The sequence below is a fragment of the Homo sapiens genome, chromosome 13 (assembly GCF_000001405.40).
Source record: "Homo sapiens chromosome 13, GRCh38.p14 Primary Assembly".
Taxonomy (NCBI): domain Eukaryota; kingdom Metazoa; phylum Chordata; class Mammalia; order Primates; family Hominidae; genus Homo; species Homo sapiens.
The window spans coordinates 69,261,204-69,286,102 of NC_000013.11; the positions used below are offsets into that span (position 1 = coordinate 69,261,204).

Below are 24,899 nucleotides of genomic sequence, written 5' to 3' on the forward strand. Positions count from 1 at the left end.
CATTGAAGAGGCTTTTCATCTCCCTGGTTAGCAGTATTATTAGGTATTGTGTGTGTGCGTGTGTGTGTGTGTGTGTGTGTACATAATGGGATTGTGTACTTCATTTGGTATGTAGCTTGGATGTTGTTGCTATATAGAAATGCTACAAATTTGTATGTTGATTATGTATCCTGAATCTTTGCTGAAGTTGTTTATCAGATCTTGGAGCTTATGGTCAGACACTATGGATTTTTCTACACATAAAATCATATATTTTGCAAAGATGGATAGGTTGACTTTCTCCCTTCTTATTTTGATGCCTTTTATTTCTTTCTCTTTCTCAATTGCTCTAACATAGGACTTTCAGTACTATGTTGCGTAGGAGTGATGAAAGTAGGTATCCTTATCTTGTTCTGGTTCTCAAGAGGAATGCTTCCAGCTTTTGACCATTCAGTAAGATGTTGGCTGTGTGTTTGTCATAAATGGTTCTTATTATTTTGAGGTTTGTTTCTTCAATGCCTAGTTTGTTGATGGTTTTTAACATGAAAAATGCTGAATTTTATTGAAAGTCTTTGCATCGATTGAGATGCTCATGTGATTTTTTGTTTTCAGTCTTGTTTTTGTGATGGATCACGTTATTGACTTGTGTATGTTGAACCAACCCTGCATCCCAGGAATAAAGCCTACTTGATGATAGTAGACTAGCTTTTTGATATCCTGCTGGATTATTGTTTGCTAGTATTTTGCTGAGAATTTTTGCATCAATGTTCATAAGGATATTAGCTTGAAGTGTTTTTTGGTTCTTGTTGTTGTTGTCTCTCTGCCAGGTTTTGGCATCAGAATGATGCTGTCCTCATACAATGAGTTAGGGAAGAATCCCTTCAACTCAGATTTTTGGAAGAGTTGCAGTAGGAGTAGTAGCAGTTTTTCATTGAACATTTGGTACATTTCAGATGTGAATATGTATGTTCTTGGGCTTTTTCTGATTGATAGGCTTTTTATTACTGATTCAATTTTGGAACTCATTATTAGTCTGACTAGGGTTTCAGTTTCTTTCTGGTTCCATCTTGGAAGGTTGTACATTTCCAGGAATCTATCCATTACTCGTAAGTTTTTTAGTTTGTGTTCATAGAGCAGTTTGTAATAGTCTCTGAGAGTTTTCTTATATTTCTGTGGGGTTGGTGGTAATGTCTTCTTTGACATTTCTGATTATGTTTATTTGGATCTTCTCTCTTTTTTTCTTTAGTAGTCTAGATAATTTTCTTTCAGTCTTATTTATTTTTTCAGAAAACAAACTTCTGGTTTCTTTGATCTTTTGTATGGTTTTTCATGTTTCAATATCATTCAGTTCACCTCTGATTTTGGATATTTCTTATCTTCTGCTAGCTTTGGGGTTGGTTTGCTCTTGTTTTTCTAGTTCTTCTAGATACAATGTTAGATTGTTAATTTGAGACCTTCCTGACTTTTTGATGTGGGCATGTAGCATTATAAACGTCCCTCTTAACACTGCTTTCATTGTGACCCAGAGTCTTGGCCCTGTGACATCTTCTAGAATCAAAGCCAGTCAACTGAATCCATCTTATACCAAAACCAAACCCCCAAGGGCATCAGAGAAGATAAAAGCAAAATAACTTCATCCAAAGGACAGCAACTTCAAAGATTAAACTAACATTGGCCCAAGCAGAAAAGAAAAAAACAGGCAAGAACCTAGGAAAGTCAAAAAGATAGAGTGTCTTTTTACCTCCAAATGACTGCACTAGTTCTGAGGAAGGGTTCTTACCCAGGCTGAAGGGTGAAATGACAGATGTAGAGTTCAGAATATAGATAGGAACAAAGATAATCAAGGTTTAGGAGAAAGTCAAAACCTAATTCAAGAAATCTAAGGAATACGATAAAATGATACAAAATCTAAAAAACTAAATAGCAATTTTAAGAAAGAACTAAACTTATTTGATAGAGCTGAAATATTTAGTAGAATTTTGTAATACAATTGCAAGTATTAACAGTAAAATAGAACTAATTGAGAAAAGAATTTCACAGCTGGAAGGCTGGTTCTCCAGATGGAATTAGTCAGACAAAAATAAAGAAAAAAGAATGAACAAAACCTCTGAGAAATATGGGATTATGTAAAAAGACTGAATCTGTGACTCACTGGTGTCCCTGAAAAAGAAAGTAAGAAAGCAAACAATTTGGTAAACATATTTGAGGGCATCCTCAGGGAAATTTTCCCCAATTTAACAAATGAAGTCAACATTCTAATTGAAAAAATTCAGAGAACTCCTGCGAGATACTATAGACTGCAACTACCCCCAAGACAAATGCTCATGAGATTCTCCAAGGTCTACCATTACATATGTGTGTGTGTGTGTGTGTGTATATATATATATATATATATATATATATATATATATATATATATATATATATATATGGCAACTAGAGAGAACAAGCAGGTCACCTACAAAGAAAACTCAATAAGGCTAACAGTGGAACTTTCTGCAGAAACCCTACAAGACAAAGAGACTGAGGGCCTATATTTAGCATTCTTAAAAAAAAAAAGAAACTCCAATAAAGAATTTCATATCTGGCCAAACTAAGCTTGAAAAGTGAAAGAGAAATAAGATCATTTTCAGACAAGCAAATGCTAAGGGAATTCATTGTCATCAGACCTGCCTTACAAGAAGTCCTTCAGGGAGTTATAAATATGAAATCAGAAGACTAGTAACAGCCACCACAAAAACACACTTAAATATATAGTCCATTGAGCCAAGGCTTAGCTCAGCACTCCTGTGCTGCATGTTCTTCATGTTCTAACTCTGGGGATTGATAATGGGTTGCCAACTTTGTTCTCTTGCCTTTTGGGTTAGGAACCTGCTGTGTTGAAGGGGCCAAGGTGTTTTGGGTCCACTGGCCTCAATATTCTGATGGAGTGCCAGCCAAAGTGTTTCATCTGGGTGGTGGCAGTGGCATTTTTTCTCACTCACATATTCCAACAGACATGGCAGGGCAGTTAGGTGCACATGCTTTGGCTGGAGAGTGGTGCTGGCGAGAGCCTTTGTTTTAATTTTCACACATTCCATATACTGGTGAAATGTTTTGGTGTTGTCTTTTAGGCTGCAATCCAGTAAGTAGTGCTTAAGAGTGTTAGCTAGCAGATAAGATCTTACTCTGCTGCAGAGCTCTTTTGTGTCTTGGTGCACTTGGCAGTAGTACTCTGTTGTGGGGAGGGAGAGATGATCCCCTCATCTAGCTCACTCCTGGGCCTTGGAGGAGACCCCTCTGATCACTGGCTCTGTGCCCATGTTTCTTTTGTTTGGTGTTCTTGTCCACATGGTTCCCTCAGGCAGGGGCCACTGTTGGCAGGCAGGCAGTATACTTGCCAGGTCAGCTCTACAGAGTGAGGCACACCCTGCTTCTCCAGCAGCCTGAAAACCAGGCATTTTACCTTTCTGTTATTTGAGACTGAGGGCTCCTCCCTACTTGCTACAAGGTAGCAAGTCCCATTTGTCTATAAGTTGTGGGGGTGTGTTGGGCCACCTAATCTGCTGTTTAGGTACCTCCCAGGGGAACATGGGGATTTGCTTTCCTGTAGCGTTAAGACAGAAGAGAGACGAGAGACTGCTGGGCTGGAAATTCTAGTTCAGTATGGGTCATCTGACTACTAGAGGCAGGGGTGAGTGGAGTTACCTGTTCTGCCTTGCTGGTGCTTCCTGAGGCAACAGGAGGCTGCACTCCTTGGCAGAATTTAGGCAGAATTAGGACTACTACTTCTAGCAGGTGTGGCCTGACTGCTACAAAAGGCGGTGGTGGGTGGAGTCACCCACCCTGAGGTCCAGGTGTTTCCCAGAACAAGAGGATCTGTTCACTAGCTGATTTCAGACAGAAGCGTGACCCCTGGAATAGAAGCCTTATCAGGCTTTGCCTTTCTGGCTACCAATGGTGGGGGCTGGGTATAGTCACCTAATCTGCCATCCAGGTGTTCCCCAGGACAATAGGAAACAGCAGCTGCCAACTGAGTTCAGACAGAAGTGGGACATCTGGGCCAGAAGCCGAAGCCAAGGATGAGTCATCTCACAAGGGGTTTGTGGGGCAATCTTACTGCCCCAAGCACTGCAACTGTAGCCTCTACTGGGGCTTTGGCATTGATGCCAGTGTGATCTGGGGTCAAAGGCTTGTAGAAGTCCTCTTGGACTTGAGAGTTGCCTCTGCAAAATCTCCTGTTGCTTCTCTGCTGCTGCCTCCGTTTAGAAGCATGTGGGGGTCGGGCAGGGTGAGGGGTCTGCTGTGGAAGCCAAGATTATTCTCCTGTTACCAGGCTTGCACAGGTACCTGTGGGGAGTTTGAATCCCCCAGGGGCCTCTCACTCACTCACACTTTCCTGTGTTAGGGAGCTTCTCCTGGCTTTGTGTACATCCCAGATAGGCTGCTGACCAGCTTCGCTCCTCTGTGCTCTCTGTGTCCCCATGCTGCCTTGATAGATCCCAATGTGGTTTCTTAGATGATTGGCTTGTAGGGTCAGTGTTCACTAATCCTTTTGTTTCCTCTCAGTGAGAGCAGCACTCATGAGCTGCTTCTAGTTTGCTGTCTTGACCCAATGCCCATTCCATAATCTGTTATTGAAGGATAAGAACATATGAAGCAAAGTTCATAGGCTTAACACATTAATGGGGCTTCACAATTAATTTGTACTTAAACTTTAATTTAATATATTTTGATAAAAGAAATATTACCATTTCTAGAATCTGTAATTAATAATTATACCTTTTCACTAGCATATATTCCATATTGTATATTTTTAACTCGTTACATATTATACAGTAATTTTTGCTGTTTGCTAATAATACATTTCATGTAATTTTTTCAACCATTGAACATAAAGATTCTACTTTTGCTACCAAGAAAACAACATTAATAGCTAATGATGCTGTAACACTAATATGTAGTTTATGCTACATTTAATATGCTAAGTTTAATTAAAACATATAGCTATGGTATGAAAATACTATAACTACTAATGGTATGAATAAAGACAGAAACCATTTTAAGTTTTATTCTACCTTTTTTTTATAATATATAAAATATCCTGCATTAACACTTTTATCTATTCAAATAGGTATTATTATTCTTTCTACACACCTACACTTCTCCAGTCTTCAGCTTTGTGTGCTTGGTGACAGTACAGTGGGAAAGAATTGGAAAATAATTTTGAATTGGCTTCAAGTCTGAGACTCTTTTGGACTCTAATTTCTCACAAGACACTATAACAGAGACAATAAACCCTTTTTTTAGTAAAGGGAAAGCATAGTAAACCACTTAGGACACATATACACACAAACATACACACACAAGCACACACACATTTACATGTTTTCTATTTTCTTGCAATATGAGTATGTTTTTATATACTTATTTGTATTTGTCCTTATCTTTTCTGAACTGTATTTTTGTATTATTTGACAATTTTACTACTGGGTGATTTAACTGTTCTTTGTTGATTCAAGATCTTTATATATGATTGATATTATTCAGTCATCAGTTACATGTATTGTAAAATTTTATACAATAATTACTTGCCTTTGTTACTTGTTGACTGTGCTTTTTTTAAAAAAAATGAGAAATAATATTGGTAAAATTTTAAAGCTTGACAACAGCATATACATACATACGTGTGTGTATATATATATACACATATATCTGTTTGTATGTTATATGCATATTGATGGAAGTATAATAAATTCTACTTCAAGGGAAATTTTAATCACAATAGCCATCAAAAGCTAAATTGTATGCACATTTGCTAAGTATTTTTATATTATCCAATGTTGCATATAAAAATACAATATGCATATGGTTGCAATCCAAATGAGCATCAATAGATAAATTGTTAATTGTTTCATGCATAATGTAGAATACAATGCGTTCTTTATAAAACTTATGTAGATCTATAAATATTTAAAATCTAAGTACAATAAAATTAACTTAAAGGAAATCTAAACAGAAAGCAATATACAAAATATAACCCTCTTTTCATAAAATAGAAGTTATTTTATATATGTATACATACACAGAAGGATATTTATAGATGCACACAAACACTTCCAGAATGATACATGGCAAACTGGTGGAAATAGCTATTTCTGGCAAGGGAAGTTGGCTCTTGATTTTGGAGGTTGAGGGTGTTGAAAATAAACTTCCTGTTTTCACTCTAATATTTCCATAATAAATGGCATTTTTATAACTAGAATATATCTGTTATATAAACATAAGTAAAAAATAAAAATATAAGTAAACTAAATTATGGCTTAATTTGGCTGACTTCATATAGAAAACTCAGCACTGTAAAATGTTGGTGAATTTTTATTTGATTTTTAAAATAACAAATATCTTTAAATAATAAATATTAATCAAATATCTCATATATGTATATATTTATATAATATATTTTGTGAGAAATGAATATGAGTATCAAATAAGGAACAAAATTATAATTATAACATTAATCTCTAGTAGCAAACATCATATGGATAAATGCTGTTTTAAAAATTCAATTATATTTGTGAACAATACCATAAACTAAAAACGATGTTTTCTCAAATCATAGATAACATATATTTAAAACCAATACCCAAGATAACCTGCCTATAGAATAACTAGAGACATTCTATATAAAATTAATAACAAAACAAGCAGTCCAGACAAACTGCATTTCAATGGCCATGTACTATGTGGTTATTAGTAGAAGCTCTGTCATCAGATTTCTTGGGTATAAATTTTATTTGTAGCAGTTAGTAGCCATATGACCTCAAGCAAGTTAATTAATGTATTCTTAATTTCATTTTTAATATCAAAAAATTGTTAGAGTTTATACAATTTTTATAGAAATATATATTAAAATACATAGTAACTACTTACTAAAACATAGCTGCTTTTATAAACATAGCTCACCTAATATCCAGAGCCCTCCACAATTGGTCCTAGCAAACCTTTCCAGTTGTATTCCTCAGTCCTAACACTTTATTTAAAACCGGCCTTTGTCACCACACCTATCAGTTAGTACTGTTACCTTTCTCTAAATACTCATCTTTCCCTCTTCCATTCTTGGCCAACTTACCTATTCTTTCAATGTGCCTGTATAAGTGATGTTACTTGTACAATTCCTGTCAAAGTGTAAGAACTCAGGACTTACATTCCATATAGCTAATCTAGCTCATTTGAATACATATACTTTTCTGAATTCCTAAGGCATTTGTATTTTATTTGAATAAATTAATCAAATATGTATTTATTATTTACTTTTAAGTTTTCACAGAGTACAATATAAGTATATTATATTTTTTATTTTACTCACTGAGGAAAAATAATATAAAAATAAATTATATAATGTGACAAAGGAATCATATTTTAAAAGATAAATGTAGGTTAGTTTTGAAATGTCTACTGGATAAGGCTCTGCACTGTTTGTTGAACACACAAAGGAATGAAATACTGGGAGAAGTCTACTATTCACTACAGCTTCTCCTAGATTTACACTTTCATAGTGATTGTTGCATAATGACAGGGCTATTACCATATCTTATCCAAAAAAAATCTTTCCCAGGGATAACATTTATATAAATTTAAGTAAACCTTTATTCATCTGTATAGCAGTAAGCAAGAAGAAGTTTTCATATGTGACTATATATAATTCCATGCTTTTTTCAGCTAAATAATAGAAGTTTACATTTCTTTCTTCTTCTTCTCCATACTATAAAGAAAAAAAATATTGAGACTACATTTATTTATTAAAATGTTCAACAAATTGATAAAATAACTTGTGATGTTTCTCATTAAAATTTATGTCATTTAAGTTACTGTTGTATCATTGATGTAGCTCTGGACAATCACTTCTTATTTTGGAAGAAATTTTCAGAGGCATTAGTACTTTGTTTTCTAGGTAAAATTATATAAATATAAAACTGAAAATTTCTTCAGGCCCAAGGAATAATAATAGTTGATTACTTGGAAACAATAAATTTTGTTCTTGATCTTAAAAACAGTAAAATTTTTGAGGTGATATATTTGTAAATTAGCTGGATTTAAACATTCCAAAATGTATATTTACACTGAATACTTTAATGGATCTTGTTGTACACAATAAAAACATACGATGCTATCTGTCAATTTGGAAAAATCAGAGTAAACATACATTTCTTGCATGCATAAATGTTATTTTTACTTACAATTTCTTAAGGAAATCTATTGTACATCACCTTGGAGAGAGGAGAAAAGGTTAAATAGTAAAGCAGTGATTTTTATCTAAGGCTTATGCATTTTATCACCTTTGGCATTTTTCTCTACTTGCTATCATAACAAAAGAAAATTCTAAATTGGAACAATTTACTCCAAAGAAACTTGCTACTGAAAGAAAGTTATTTTTCTAATTTTTTTTCTAAATTGAATGCATTTTAATTTTAAAATAAAACTGTGTTAATTTCTACAGTTTCTTTATCCTCCTGAAGAATCCTTACTGAGTTTCTGTCACACCTTATTTTCACTTTCATGTTAGTATAAATTAACATTGCATTAAAAAGTATTTATTCAAAATAATGTTTCCTTGATGGAAATAAAGGAGTTAGTATTAGCAACTATGATGAAGAGCTAATAATAAAAAGTACTGTTGAATTCTTAGAAAATACTACTTCATATTCCTCTCTATTTTTCTATCACAGATATGAAGAATAGAGCCAATATTACAACAAATAACCTTCATGCCTGCAAAAACTTTTTCAGGTACTGAAAAAATAAGGTTATTTTACCTTTCATATATACTTTTCACACCAAAGAAAATCTGAATTCCCTGCAAATATGTTCAAAAAAGTTATTATAACATCAAATGATTATGACTACAGAGACTACAATAATACACATAATACTGTATAATACAATACAATAATACACATAATACTGTAGTAATTTAAAAAAATACTGTAATAATTTTTAAATGAGTGTCTATATACATGATGTATAGTTTATTTTTAGTTCTTAAAAACATTGTTTAATTTATGTTGATGACCTTTTCTATAATATTGTATAGCCTTCTTATCTAGTTGATTAAATAATACGTTCATATACATGTTTCTGTTGACAAAGGGAATTTACATATATAATACACATATATAAAATATATTATATGTAATATTGTGTACATATATTATATATAGTACATATATTTAATATTTGGAATATTGCTGGGTACACAGTGAATTTTGTTTTTTTTTTGAAATGGACTTTCGCTCTTGTTGCCCAGGCTGGACTGCAATGGCGTGACCTCGGCTCACTGCAACCTCAGCCTCCCGGGTTCAAGTGATTCCCCTGCTTCAGACTCCCGAGTAGCTGGGATTACAGGCATGCACCTCCACGCCTGGCTAATTTTGTATTTTTAGGAGAGACAGTGTTTCTCCATGTTAGTCAGACTGGTCTCGAACTCCCGACTCCTGCCTCTGCCTCCCAAAGTGCTGGGATTACAGACGTGAGCCACCTCGCCCAGCCTCACAATGAATTTCTTATAAGTGCTTTAAGTTGGATTGCTCAAAAAGCAGACATTGAGATGGCAATTACCACCCAAGAGTTTTATTAGATTTTTGTAGCTGTGAAACAAGAGAGTAAGAAAGCAGGATTGGGCCAAGCTATGGGTGCAGGCTCAATAATGATGTGGCTGGCCCAATAGGGAGCCCCCTTCAGTGTCGTTCCAATATCGTACAAGGGGACTAATCTAGGTTGATTAGTCACTGAATGAAGACTGTCCAAGGAAAGAGGTCTGACCCTAGGTGATGTACTTTTTTATCAGTGAAAAGAGGACTGACAGCTGAGAGCAATTTTCTGGCAGTATCCTCAGTAGTGGAGTCATAGTACATCATAGCTTGCTCCACAGTCCACTCTTGTACTGCTCAGATACACTCTTCATACAGAGTTCAGAAACATTTCTTTCAGCCCTCTCATGTATCATTTCTTGGGTGAAACTGAAGTAAGACAGGTTAGGTTTTGAACTAGATAGAGCCCCTGGCATTGCAGCTGCCCTTGGAGCTATAACCAATACTCATAGTTTCCTCTACTGTCTCAGATTCCACTTATGCTCACACAGAACTTCTAATGGTCTTTGTGGGCTTATTGGTGGCATGACTTGCATCCTCATACCTGAGAAACTTGAGCCATAAGTCACATAATCTTTGTAGCTCACTGTTGCTGGATTTATTCACTAAACATCAAAATTAGGTAAAGGAGTATCAAAAAGCACAAAAATAGCCTACCTGAATGTCAAATACATTCCTCCCTACCTCCTCTTGATAATCAGGTTCAGTTCTCTCTGACAAGATGAAGAATTCCCTTTTTGCCTGCCGGACCCTTGGCACTAAGTCCTTGAAATACCTAAACAAAAGCGGTAGTTTTTCTTGCTGTATTTCCCACAATAGAAAAGTTTCCCCTCTAGAATAAAAAATCTCCAAACCCACAAGAATCACTTCAGTACTTCACTCATGCCTCTTCCCTAGTCTGTCCATTGCTCTCTCCATCTGAAATGGGAAAACTCTTAAGGGATCTTTCAATTGCACCATCCAAAGCTATTTGCTGAATATGTAACACAAGTCAGATTTTCCTTCTGCCTAATCCTGCCTCCTTACTATAATTTTCACCTATATTGATCCCAAGAACACTACATAGGATGGTGGTAAGTGGGATAATTCCTCATATATATATACACACACTATGTACCCATAAAAACTGAAAATAAAAAAAATCATTTTAAAAAGTAGGCCTATATTTGCTTCCAGCTCTTGAATTCTGAACCATGCATTCTTCCTGCTGGGATGCATCACCATTTAAAAGTCTTTGATATATTCTGCAGGGTGGTATCTCACTCATAAAATATTAGTATCAAGCTGGTGCTTTTGCCATGCATTTGGCTAGGTATTCCATTGCTCCCATCGGCCTCTAGATTTTGGATGTCATTACTGTGAAATACTCAATGGATACCATGGACATGGGTGTATTCATGCATCTTTTTTGTGTAAAGTAAGTGCATTGATCTGACATGTCATGTGAAATTCTGTGCAGGTAAATAAAAAAATTTCTAAGTCTCTGGGGACAGACGCTACTTAAGGGTCAGAATGCAGGAACATAATTAATATTCTTGGAATATGTGTTTCTTCCTTTCAAAAATGGACTGCTTCCCCTTCTATGGTAGAAGAAATCCAAAAGAGTCCATTTGCCACCAAGTATCCAGAGTCTCTCTTCAAGGATTGTAGACTCAGTGTGTGTTTTTGTTGCTGAGAGATTGAACATCAAAAGTGGTAATAACTTCACTATTGGAATTCATGCTGTAAGGATACTGCATACTGCCATTACTGCTATCATACTTATTTCATTCTTACGCTTTCTGTGCTAACTCTAGGATAGCCAATAACGGTAGTTGGTGACCATCAACTGGCCAAGTTATTTTGTCTAATTGATTCCTTAGTTCTCATCAACAGTGAATGCCCTCTTTTGGGTATTTACATATAATGGGATTTTCAATGGTTGTGGTCATCCCTCTATATCTATGGGAGTGGGACAGGAGGAGGCAATGAGAAGAGAAGAAAAAGGGAAGATAGTTTTTCTTCATTTGTAAAACTGGAAATATAATGCTTACTTCCAAATTTTAATGAAAATAAAATAGGTTATTATATAAAAAGCAGAACACATTTTAGACAGTTTGCTCATTCTTCATGGAACCTCATTAATAATAAATGGTGCACTTTGATTACAAATATAAAGAAGTAATTTAGAGATCAGAGAATTGATAAAGATGCATGTATTAAAAGTTATAGTTAACTTATTAAATGCACAAAAATAAATAACAAAAGGGATACTTATTATCAATGCTCAAAGACAAATGTCATGGAGGAAGCATTGTTTCAGAAATATAAAAAGTAATATTTAAAGAAGGGTACAGTTAAATAATTTTAAAGTTACGAAAAAGAAAATAAAAATATTAGCAAACCATCAACAAGTTAGTACCACAAATTGTATGTCTCAAAAAGCTGTTAATCATTTATTCATGGCCATTTCATATATGCTTTGTTAGAAGTTAATGGCTAATTGGCAGCTCCACCCAATAGGATTTAATTAATAGATTGTCTGAAATAAAATTATACAAACTAACCTTAACTATTAACCTTAATCAAGATGCAGTGAATCCTCTCATGGTGGGAAACAAGTTCATTTCCTTTGCCCACTTTCTAATGGAGTTGTTTATTTTTTGTTCATTGGATTAAGTTCCTTGTAGATTATAGATTCTGAATATTAGAACTTTGTCAAATGCATAGTTGGTGAATATTTTCTCCCATTCTGTCAGTTGTTTATTTACCCTGTTGGTAGGTTTTTTTTTTTCTGTATGAAAGCACTTTAATTTTATGCTGTTCTTGTTTCAAAGTGTTGTATACTGCACTCACAAATAACTATAACCACTTAGCATTCATCTGTCGACAAAACCACTCAGTGACTACAACAAGAACTATCCAATGAAACTCTCTTGCCCCTCTCTCACTTGCATTTATCTAACAAAAATCCAACATAATTCTTATACAACTCAGTATTCCCTAGGTCATAAAAAATTCCAGTTCATGTAAGTAATGTATTATGTATATAAAACAGGCATTTTTAATAATCAAAACACCCTTCTCAAGTTATTACTTGGTTATATTAAGAAAATATATATCATTTTAATTTCCAAAAGAATGTTTTCCTTATGACTAGAAAAATTCTCTTCAGGTTTTCTAAAACAAAACCAAAATATTTAGCTGTGCAGCAGAATGTGAATGCTCAAACAGTCTTGCAAGGGAAATTTAATTTTTACCCTTACGTTGGTGCATTAGAAAATATTATTTGAGTAGTTCTGACAGAAAGAACCATATACCCTGGATAGAAAGAAGTGTCTCCCTTATTTTGTGTCTAGGAATTGATACCTTGCTGATTTTTTTTTATGAAGAATGAAACTTTCTTACCTTTGTTTAAGGAAGAATCATCTTCCTTTATTGATATGACTTGTAGTTAAACTAAGCAATGCACTTTTTCAACTACATTTTCCATCATAAGCTATTATGAATGAATAAAGTGAAAAATACTTGTGTGGAAGGATAGAAACAAGTATGACTGGAATATAGTGAAACCTTAAGATGAGAGAATGATCTAAGAGTGACTACTTTGGAAGATAATGTTGAGCAATCAGGCTAAGGAAAGGTCATGATTCAGAGCACAGGAGTGTGTGTGGCGGGAGGGAGGGTCAGAGTCCACACCAGCTAAATATCTAGTCTTCACCTGAGTGAAAATTATGTTATCACCTCTGCCCAGGGCTTGTAGCAGTAAATTTTCCTATCTCCATCTGGAAGTCATGATCATTGCTTGGTAGAAGACATCATTTATGGTTCATCACTATCTACATATAATATAAAAACATATCAAAATATGTGCTTTATATTATATGCTGCAGAGAACCTCCACCTCTCTCTGCAGCACAATAGTGAGAATATTCTGCACAAGTATTTGTGTTGAGCTAAGTAAAGAGGCAAAATGAGAATGAAAGATCTCTGGCAAGTAAATATTCAACAAGTTGTTGACAAATATAAGTATAAATAAGTACTCTAGATCAATCCATAAGTATAGAATAAGTACTTCATGTCATTCTCTAAACAAATACTTGAAAGTTTTATGTGTAATCACTATAGCAGTTTTTTATCCATGATATTTTCCTTTTATTTAATACTTTTTATTTCTCAAGTATCATCAATCTTTATCCATTTTAAATCTATGAGATTACATTGTACACATTATATTTCTTTTCTATATCTTTTTTCTCTATAGTCACATTTGTTATATTGTAACAGTAAATTTTCAACTTATTTTACAAAGCAATTAATAAACATTTATTTATGTGTTTGCTTTACAGCTTAACTAATGCTTGTGATGTTTAACGCCTGTCTTTTCAACTTGGTCTACTGAGTCTTCAATACTGGTGACTGAGCTGCTTGAAGTGAACTCTGGACAAGGTGGAGAGCATCTTCTTGATTTAAGGTCTGATAAAAACTAGCAGTCTTTCAATTTATCCAGTAAAATGGGTCATAACAATACAACTATATGGTATATTTTGTTTCCAAAATTAAAAACGTCCTAACAATCACTGTGCTTCTATTTTAGCAGTAGTGGGTAAATGGAGCTACGATCTTTATTTTTTTTACCTTGGAAGAAATATCACACACATACATGTACACACAATGACTCCTTGAAACTTTATTTAGAAGGCAGACTCTGAGACTTATCTCTCTCAGCATTCAGAATGTGTAAGTCTTGCCAACTCATTCAGGATAGCTCCTTTTTTTCTCACCAGGTCTTGACATTATAAATGTTATAGACCAATACGCTATGTTTGAGAGTAGTGAAATGATCAGTGTCCCTCTGGATTAATTCGGACCTTTAATAGGAGAGTTGATGTAACACAGAGGTAAGAAAATGAGGGTCTACTGCTGTTCCCTGATAGATTTAATCAAATTACATCTGGTGCTTTCTCTTAAAGAATGGAGAAAAAGCCGTTAGCAGATGGAGAGTTGCATATCAGGGGATGCATTAATTTTCTCCGCAGTAATTTTTCAGGACACGTCTGTACAGACCAGTTAAGTAAGCTAAATATGGGTATGGTATGTACACTTTTCAGGTGTTCAATAATAGCACTTATTTATGCAGCTCACCCAGAAATGTTGTATTGCTATCACTTTGCTCTTTTGTTAAGGAAGTTAAGTTCTAGAGGTTCCATTTCTCTCATTTTACTGTAATAACACTTACGTCTAAGGTCAGGAAAACAAGCTTGTATTTCTGTTAAATGTCAAATATATGTATATGAATAACGTATTCAGGATCTGAGAAAGTACTCATTGGTTAAATTGATGAATATAGAAAACCTGGCCAGGCGTGGTTTTCTATAGGCCAGGCCTATAATCCCAGCATTTTGGGAGGCCAAGGTGGGTGGATCACTTGAGATCAGGAGTTCAAGACCAGCCTGGCCAACATGGTGAAACCCTGTCCCTACTAAAAATAGAAAAATTAGCCAGGCATGGTGGTACACGCCTGTAATCCTAGCTACTTGGGAGGCTGAGGCAGGAGAATGCTTGAACCCGGGAAGTGGAGGTTGCAGTGAGCCAAGATCACACCACTGCACTCCAGCCTGGGCAACAGAGTGAGACTCCATTAAGAAAAAAAAGAAAGAAAGAAAGAAAAGAAAAGAAAACCCATGGTGAGATAGAGTCATTCCATCATGGACTTTGACTGGTGGACCACAGTGTTCATCTTCTGAATCATTACGGATTACTGATAGCTCAGATACAATGTGAAGTATTAACCAAATAACTGGAAATGTTTCTTCCTTGAGTGCATATTTACACAGTTAAATGGCCAAATCTTTCTTTAAGTGAGAAATTACATCACCTGTAGATGTCAGATGATGGTTCTTTGCTCCTGACACTCTAGGATCCCATCATCCTCACTAAAATTAATTAGCCACTTTCAATCATCTCACGTATTTATTGTTGTGCTATAGGGAATAATCACTACAGTGTTTTAAATGATATATTTCTCAATCTCATTGTGAATTAAACAACTCCTTGGCCTACTGGATACATAATTATGAAAAATTCATATATTATGAATTATATTTAACATTTATCTCTCTCCAAGTTTTGGAGTTTCTTTCAGTTTATAATACAAAGAATTTCAGGCACGACAATTTCAATAATCATAGATTAAGTTTGATTCTTGGTTCAATGTACTAACCAAGAAAAGATATGATACCATCCTCAGTGGTATCAACTAGGATATGTAATCCATAGGCTTTGTTAACTTTTCTCAAACTCTCATTTCCATAAGGTAATTCAATTTAATATTATGTTTATTTTCAACTAGTCTCATATACATTCCCCCATATTTTTTTTACTTCTGAAGATAAGCAAAATACTGTGTTATTTACTATGTAAAATTATCATTATTTTTTTTGGTCAGATATTTTCTTGGCCATCAAGTGGCAGGTTGGAGTTTACTGGCTATGAGGAGTGATGGAAGTGAGAAGTAGGGAAACCTGGTATCTCCTGTGAGTGTCTGGTGAAGGCTTGACCTTAAGTGAGGCCATTACAAGATAAACAAGGATAGCCTTTCAAAGCAAAGACAGAAAAGCTTCTTATAATGAGAAGGAAGTCTCAGAGACTCTGAGAACATTGTGATATTCACCATTATTTAATTCCATCCAAATGTCCTCATTGCACTTTCCAGAGTCAAGTGTTTTCTTAACTAACTTTCAAATAAAATGTAGGTAACCAGGTAAAACTAAGCACTGAAAATCCACTGTAACTTAATCTGCAAGATAAGCTTCATTTTCACTATAAGGTTTTATCATAGCAGCTGTCATATCTAATAAAGCATCTCCTTCAACAGAAACTTCATTTTAGATGTAGAGATAATGAATTAATTCTTTTGTCACTGTATAATATGAAAAGTCAATATCCTATCTATAATGTACTCTTGATTCTCTTTCAACCTAACTATCCAGAAAACGAAACCCAATTTTCTATATTTTGCGTGCTGTTAAATAAATTTCTGATTCAATTATTCAGTTAAATAGAATACAGGTTAGAATAAAATCCATTTCAGCTAGCATAAAGATGGACAATTTATCTCATAGCTTTTGCTAGCTTACTAAATTATTTGGGTGGTTGAAAAACTTACTCTAGGCTGATCCCGGACTTCTAAAGCCACAGTTCTGCAATGGGTTTCCTTAGAAGCTGTTCCCTATCATAATCAGAAGCTGTAGAATTATTGGTGTAGAACCAATAATCACCCTACCAACTTTGGAGATTTCTGATAAAAATATTGCTTCCATATCCATGGTTTATGCTAGGGTTTGAATGCTTGTGTCTTCTTCAAAAATTTATAGTAGAACTCACCTTCCAATGCAATAGTGTTAAGCAGTGAGACATCTAGGAGATGTTCGAGTCATGAGGATGGAGGCCTCATAAGTGGGATTATCGACCTTAGAGAAGGGCTGGAAGGAAATAGCTAGGCCCTTTTTTGCCCTTACACCATATGAGGATGCTGCAAGAAGGGTCTCGCCAAACTGTGAATGCTGGAGTCTTGATCCTGAATGTCCCAGCCTACCGAACTACAAGAGACACATTTCACTTGCTTACAAATTACCCAGTCTCAGGCATTTTGCTATAGCAGTACAAATGGACTAGGACAACCTGTCTGCTATAATCAGAAAGAAGTTTTTGCTGAATTGGAGATCTACCAGAATTTTACTGCCTCTAGTTCAGTATGCAAAACGAATGCCCAGTTCCATCCCTTTGCCCCATTTGACTACGTTCCAAATTTAAGTTTACTGTGAGTATATGTTATTGATGAAATCTTATGAGATTCTCTAATTGGCACCAAAAATATAGTTTTTAGTGTTTCTGCCTCTTCATGTTAAGATAGGATGTTAAATGTTTGTCAAGTGATATAATTTTTAATATCGGCCATATTTTTAAAAATTTCCTTCCACCCACTGTTAGAGTCTTTTGAAATCTAGTTTTTATTATGCATTTGCCCTTTCTCTTTTACTTAAATTATTAGCCACACTTTTTCTGAAATTTTTGAATGGAGATGAGATTAAAACATATGATCAATTATCTGTACTATTGCAAGGCTATTCCAGGATTGAAGGACTTTACTAAAATTGATGACCTTAAATTTCAAAAAGACTTTTTTGAACACATTTTATTTGTAATATGTGCTTTAGTTATTATACTAAATGCCCTAGAACTTGCTGCCCTATAAGCACTTTTGGGAAAGAATTATGCCAAATTTCAATATGTCAAGCTGTGATTAATCAACTTTATTCCCCCAAAGATTAAATTACTACTGCTAAAGGTCAATAAATGCTAATGATTGTTATCTGGCCTTACAGCTATGAACAGAATTCTTAAAAAATGATTTTAAAAAAGAAAAGTCATTTTGGAATAACTGATTAGAAAAGTCAACTAAATTTGTTACTTTTGTTGTGAAAACCTTTGTGGTTTATAACTCAACAGACAATTACTGAGTGTTCTTCATAGGATATTGTGCTGAAAAGTACAAAAATCAGTCATACAGAATAAATGCTGGTCTGTATTTTCATTGAAACAGAATGAAAAGGAAATGAAACTTCACTCTTTTGTTCAACAATACCTATTAAGTACCCAGTATGTGAAGTATGTGGCTGGTATTTATATTCTGAGGAGTGTATATAAAGAAAGCTGTAGATGTCTCTGGAGTTTAAGTACAGTGGACTTTCCAAACACTTTGTTGTTAAATCCCATCAAAGTTATAGTATATATGAGAAGTTTTGTTTACTATTTTACAAATGAAGAAGACTCAAAAAAGTTAATATAGTCACAAAGTCATATAGAGAGTATTTTATCTCAAAATCTATATACTTCAAGAGCACCATATTGCTTACAATCTAAAAGGATAAAAAGACATGTGAGTAATGAATTTTACTATAGTGAGTAGATTGATAAACACATCAGTAGAAACAAAGTATTTTGGATCGCTAGAGAAGTGACCTGTTTTTAATGCAAAGATTTTTTTAGTAGAAAGAAAGTGGTGATTATAAAATTATCAGATCACTTTTGATAAGTACAGATTTATAGAAAAGCATATGCAAAGACACAATGATATATGGGTACAGTGCACATTAGGGGAACAGAATTTCTGTTAGAGGCTGCCTGGGGGAGCTAAAAGATAGCAATATGACTGGTGAATTTGGTTGGTTAATTATTGTGGATGACAGTCCTAGTATAAGATTCCCATCCAGAATCCCAGCACTCCAGGTTGTTGAATTGACAGGAAGAATGTCTATATAGGTTTCTAAGTTCACTCAGTTTTCAAGCTTATGCTATAATCATTATTAAAATGACTAGTGCTAATAATGTCTCGTGCTAAAAAAGTGGCGAGAGACGAGAGCAGGCTGCATAAAGCAGCAAGCCGTTGATATGTGTTTATCACACTCTGAAGCCAAATATTTCCTCTAGTCACTGACACTCTCAGCTTTTAGAACAACATAAGGCAAAAGCTGAACTAGAAGGTGACCACTATCAGGAATGGTATGTTAACAAGTAAGTGGTCATTGACTGCAAGATTTTAGGATGATATACTATGTGTAGATAACTAAAATGGTTCTTTATTCTGTAAAGCTGTACCCAGATGATCATAATACTTCTATTTCAAATTGTCAGTGACCAGGGCTACACGCAATTGCCCGTGTCAACTGTTGAAACACACAAATCTACTTTCTTAATAACTAAAGTAAAAGCTTTTTTTTTGCTGATGAGTAAATTGCTGAGCTGACATATCCTACCAAAGTACACCCTGTGCTGAACGAATGTAGCTGCATTAATATCATTAATGTACACTACATGATCTGCTGTATTATCCCTCTATGACAAGCTTCCTATAAGAACCCAGTCAGTGAGGTATTTCAAACGAAAGATCTGGTGTAAACAACCCAAACATTTGTTGATGGGGAAATACCACAACTGCCTCAATTATAGCAACTCATGAAACAGCAGCAGGAAGACCACCAACCTTAACCTCTAAACAAGTAGAACAGACAGAGAACCAGAGCAGAAAACAGAGGATCAGTACCTTTCAAAAATTAGATCAGCATTTTAAAAACTTAAGTCCCCAGTAGAAGAAAGTGGAAAGATAAGGGGAAGAGCTGCCTATGGACACCTGAGAAATGTGTTGGAATTAGTTTGCTAAGGCTGCCATAACAAAGTACCACACATTGGGTGGCTTTAAAAAAACGTATTTATTTTTTCTCATAATTCTGGAAGCTAGAAGTCTGGAATCAAGGTGTCAGCAAGACTGATTTCTTCTGGGGCCTTTGTCTTTGGTTTGTAAACGGTCGTGTTTTCCCTGTGCCTTCACATGGTTGTACATCTATAGTCAATTTTGTCCAAATTTTCTCCCTTTATGAGGATATCAGTTATACTGGATTAGGCCCCACCATAATGACATAATTTAAGTTTAACTACCTCCTTAAAAACCATATCTAGAAATATGGACATATTCTGATATATTGGGGTTTGAATTTTAATACATGAATTTAGGGAGGATGAAATTCAACCCATAACAATAGGTAAGGCATACTAGATGATATCACTATCCTCTGAAGAGGATAGTGACAGTTCAGTATTCATGGGAAATTAGATATGTGTATAGATGAGAAATACATAAAGAAAAAAAGAAAATTTTAAAATATATGTGTGTGTATATATATATATTACTCAAACATATAGGACTTTAATGCTCTTAACTACAGCATTGATCATTTTTAAAGGCAAAACACTGTTATGGAAGTTGTTAAGCAGAAAGTTAAAACTCTAAAATTTGAGATATCTAAATAGAATTGAAGGATTTATTCAGAGAAGGCTGGAAACAGAAAATCTAGCCAAAATTCTGTTAATAGTTCATAAGAAGAATGATTAAGGAAAATCAGGACAGAAATAAAAAATTGTAACAAAAATAAAACTTTCAAGAAACACTAAAGCTAAGAGCAGCAAAATTTGGAGTCCAACTGAATATTATGTATAAATGAAAAGGGAAACTAAAACTATTTTTATATTTTTAACCTGGAAGATTGAAAGTATTTTGATGCTGACAGTGACAACAGTAAGAAAAATAAGAAGTAGAAGAAAATACAATTCAAGACATTTCAATTTGCAGATGGAAATATGCAAATAGGTCAAAATTCATTAAACTCAAAATCAGGAGGTCAGAAGTAAAACTAGACTTGAAGTCATGCATATACAGAAAATAATGATGGTGGTGGGAATGAAGAAAGATCTTATGTGGATCATTTTGTAAACATGCTGAAAATATAATTTTATGAAATTTCTGTTTTACAGATCAGATATATACATACATATATATAAAACTTAGGAAAATATGATTAAATAAAAAAAAATGAGTACTCAGAACCAAAACAGTAAGGATTTTAAGAAGCAGGACATTTGTTTTTCTCAAAAGATCAAATAATATGAAGATATAAAAATTTGAATTTTCTAAGTTTGAAATTGCAGTAGATTTTGGGACCCATTAACTTATTTCAAAGCATTTTCCCTAAAATATTAGACTCATAAGATGTTACACATAGATTATAAAGGAATAAATCCATATACAAATTGGTTTGAGAAAAGTTATAATCTATACCTTGCTTGGTGATTCACAATATGAATCATATTGGGATACACCATAACTGTTAAAAAATTATTCAATGACATTTGTTAAAGCTTAGTAACTAAGAGTTTATCCAGGACTATTGCAATAGGCACTGGGACCACTGCAATGGGATCTCGCAGTGGGGAAGGGACATTGAGCTCAACTCTGAATACAGCATGGAGAAGTAGGAATTTATAGTCAAGGAGCAGGTGGGGATTGGTGGATGAAAAATTGCTAAAAAGAAACATCGGGGTAAGGAGGATTCTGGCTGAATTGACTCAACAACATTCGTGCTGAAGCCAGGCCACAGTGATGACATCAAGTGAGGGATAGTGGTAAATGAAGAACCTAATCCAATATTGAAGATGATCAGATCTTGAGGATGGGTGGTTCTTGCTAAGCTAAATTGTCAGGGTTCTTTGCTAAAAGTGGATTTTACAAGGAAGTGCACAGATGGGCTGGCCTACCAGAGGATTCAAAAACCTGATTCAAGTTTGCTCAAGCAAAGAATCTTTTTCAAAAATTTTCCCACAACAAAGAATGACCTAGTATGAAAAACCCTATCCAAATGATATGAATAACATTACTTTTCCAACTTTACTTCCACTAATTCCTCAACTTACCTCTCATTCAATCCACTCGGTCCCCAGAGTTCCTCTCCTTCCCCAAACACACCAGGAATACTCTTGCATCTACACCTTTGTACCAGTTTTGGCCTCTGCCTGGAACTCCTATTACTCAAAAATCTAAGTACCCTATACTTTCATCTTCACATCTCTGTTCAAACACTGTCTTCTCAGTAAGGCTGACCCTGCATCTTCCTTAGAATATAAACTATCCCTCAGCCCCAGTGCTGCCAATCTGTATGAACTACTTGTTTATTTTTTTATAGCCTTTAACACCTTCTAGCATACTATATACTTAATGTACAGTTATGGTGCTTATTGTTAACTTTTTGTCCTGTCTTACCAAAATGTGTGTTCCCCGAAGAAAGACATCTGTTTTTGCTTTGCCTACTGATTTATACCAAATCTCTGACAAAACTAGATACTCAATACATATTTGTTAACTTTAGTAATTCAGTTCTCACTTCATTTATTTTATTTTCAAGACAATTTAGTGTACATTTTTTTACTAGTTTATATGGAAAAGGTGGCAATTTTTATCTCCCATCTGGGTTGGCATGATCTGTGCTAAACATATTCTTGTTTCTTTGTTTGCTGTTACTTCTCCCTGCGGAAAGATGAATTTCCTAAAAAGACATTACAGGCTTACTTTTTCTATTTTTTTTTTTGTGGGAGGAAAACTGCAAAAGATTAAAGGGATCATTAATTTCTTAAGGAACAAAAAAACACATTAGAACCCAGAGCCATTCTTACCCATTATTTAGTATTTTTATACGTTTTAAATAACCTGGTGTCCTAAAATAATTGTGCAAAATTTCTCCATTTACATATTTATATCTCAGTAAAACAGCACAATGTAGGTCATTACTACTATAGCAGGAGACAACGCACTAGGATATTGGAGACTGATTAGTTGCTATGCTGTGCTTGTTAACATGCAGACCCTTGAGTGAAGAATACATTTGCATATTTCTTTTCTTGTCCAGGATGACACACATTTCTCTTTGCCTGCCTAATGCTATTATCATGTTTGAACATTCTTGTCCTGGGAATTAATTTTACACAGGTCTTTCTGTTTGCTCCACTTTTTCACTCTATTTTTGATTCTTTTAAAATTTATGTTTATATAATTCTGTCATTACCTATTTAATTGTTCAAAGTAGCATTTTCTCTGATTTTTTTTTTTTAATGTTTTTAGTTTGGGTTTAACTCCTCAGAGAGAATATGGGTAGGATTTGACCATGAGATGCTGTGCTTTTTTAAATATTTAAGACTTACATATTCTCTCTGCTCTATTTCATATAGCATGTTTATTACCCTTAACATTTAAAACTTGTCTATTTTTTTCCAAACACTCTCAACTCTCATTTCTACTCTAAGCAAATACAACTATGCAGCTGTCATCAAACATAATACATATTAATCCAACAAGAGATTTGCTACATGAACAAAAAGGAAATGCCTCTGAACAGGATATATACATATAAATGCAAGTTTAAGATATATAATTGGGCCAGGCACAGTGGCTCAGGTCTGTAATCCCAAGACTTTGGGAGGTCAAGGAAGGTGGACCACAAGGTCAGGAGTTCAAGACCAGCCTGGCCAACATGGTGAAACCCTGTCTCTACTCAAAATACAAAAATTAGCTGGGTGTGGTGGCATGCATCTGTAATCCCAGCTTGGGAGGCTGAGGGAGGAGAATCGCTTGAACCTGGGAGGTGGAGATTGCAGTGATCCGAGATCGTGCCACTGCACTCCAGCCTGGCGACAGAGTGAGACTTCACCTAAAAAAACAAAACAACAAAAAAAAGATACATAATTGAAGGCTTACACTTTAATGAGAAAGTTTTCAAGGGAAGAAGAGGAAGGAAACAGAAAAGGAAAGTGAAAAAAAACCTCAAAAATAAGAAATGTGTCTAAAGGAAAGAAAATAATAAATAATAAATACAGGGTTAGAAGTTGATTTAATGGAATTCTGGCTCAGATTGTGGAGTAAGATCACTCTGATATATTCTCTCTGTTCCCAACACATAATAGTGATAAGAAAATATAAGGGTAAAAATAGCAGTAACAAGAAGTCATGAATTCTCTGAAAAACAAGATAATTTGATCTTGTTTGATCTTTGATCAGAAAATTAAACATAAACTTGAAATAATACATAAAATCAAGGATACCAGTATGATTTTCTTTGGTTTTTGAGGTTGACAACGATGATTGGATTTTGATTCTTATAAGTCAGAGGGCACTAAAAATGTTCCACTTCAAAAGTCTATTCCCAAGGACAAAAGAGGAACAAAAAGACTTTCTGTCCACAGATATTTAGACTAGATTGAGAGATCTCAACAAGAGTCAATAATTCTGGAAGTAAACATAAGAAACAATGGTGAAGTTGCAGAAATCATTGCTTTAATTTCCCAGAGGATGCCTTAGATCCAAAAAGCACAGATCAAATACCAAAAACTAAAAATAAATATACATATAGATCAAATATATAATAACTATGAAAGATCAAAAATAAAAAGAAAATCTTAAAGACTACCAGAAGAAAAAAGCAGATTATTTACTAATTATAATATTTAGCAGAGTATAGTCTTAATAATAGCAGCACATGTCAGGAACGATAGAATTGTATCCATTTGTTGGGGGAAAACCTCTGCTCTGACTCTTTCCTCCCCATGAATTTCTTACTTTCTTAGCATTGAACACATAAGATTTTTTGTTTACTTAGTAAATATGTACTATGTATAAAATTCAGTTTCAACTATTTGAAAACAACAATGGCATTGAATTTATAATTTTGTGAGGCATAAATATGACCATTGAAGGGAGAGTGATATTTACATGTGAAACTTTAAGATAGTGAGTGACATCTACCTGTCAATATTATAGCCTAGCTGTTCTTGCCTTGCCCTTGCTTATGCTTTAGTGGTAGATGACAACTTGCTTTGAAGAGTTATCTCCCAAATTAGTAGGCATATAAAGAAATGCCAAGGTTGTGCTAT

The 24,899-nt window shown here is 34.4% G+C and overlaps 1 long non-coding RNA gene across 1 annotated transcript in view; it reads left to right on the top strand.

The window, feature by feature from the left end:
- The window catches only part of LINC00383 (long intergenic non-protein coding RNA 383), a 99,756-nt gene that overhangs the window by 38,858 nt on the left and 35,999 nt on the right, over positions 1 to 24,899 (top strand). Inside the window, exon 2 of the long non-coding RNA NR_125752.1 lies at positions 13,937 to 14,061. This is a non-coding gene — a long non-coding RNA (long intergenic non-protein coding RNA 383). The remainder of the gene's footprint in view (positions 1 to 13,936; positions 14,062 to 24,899) is intronic.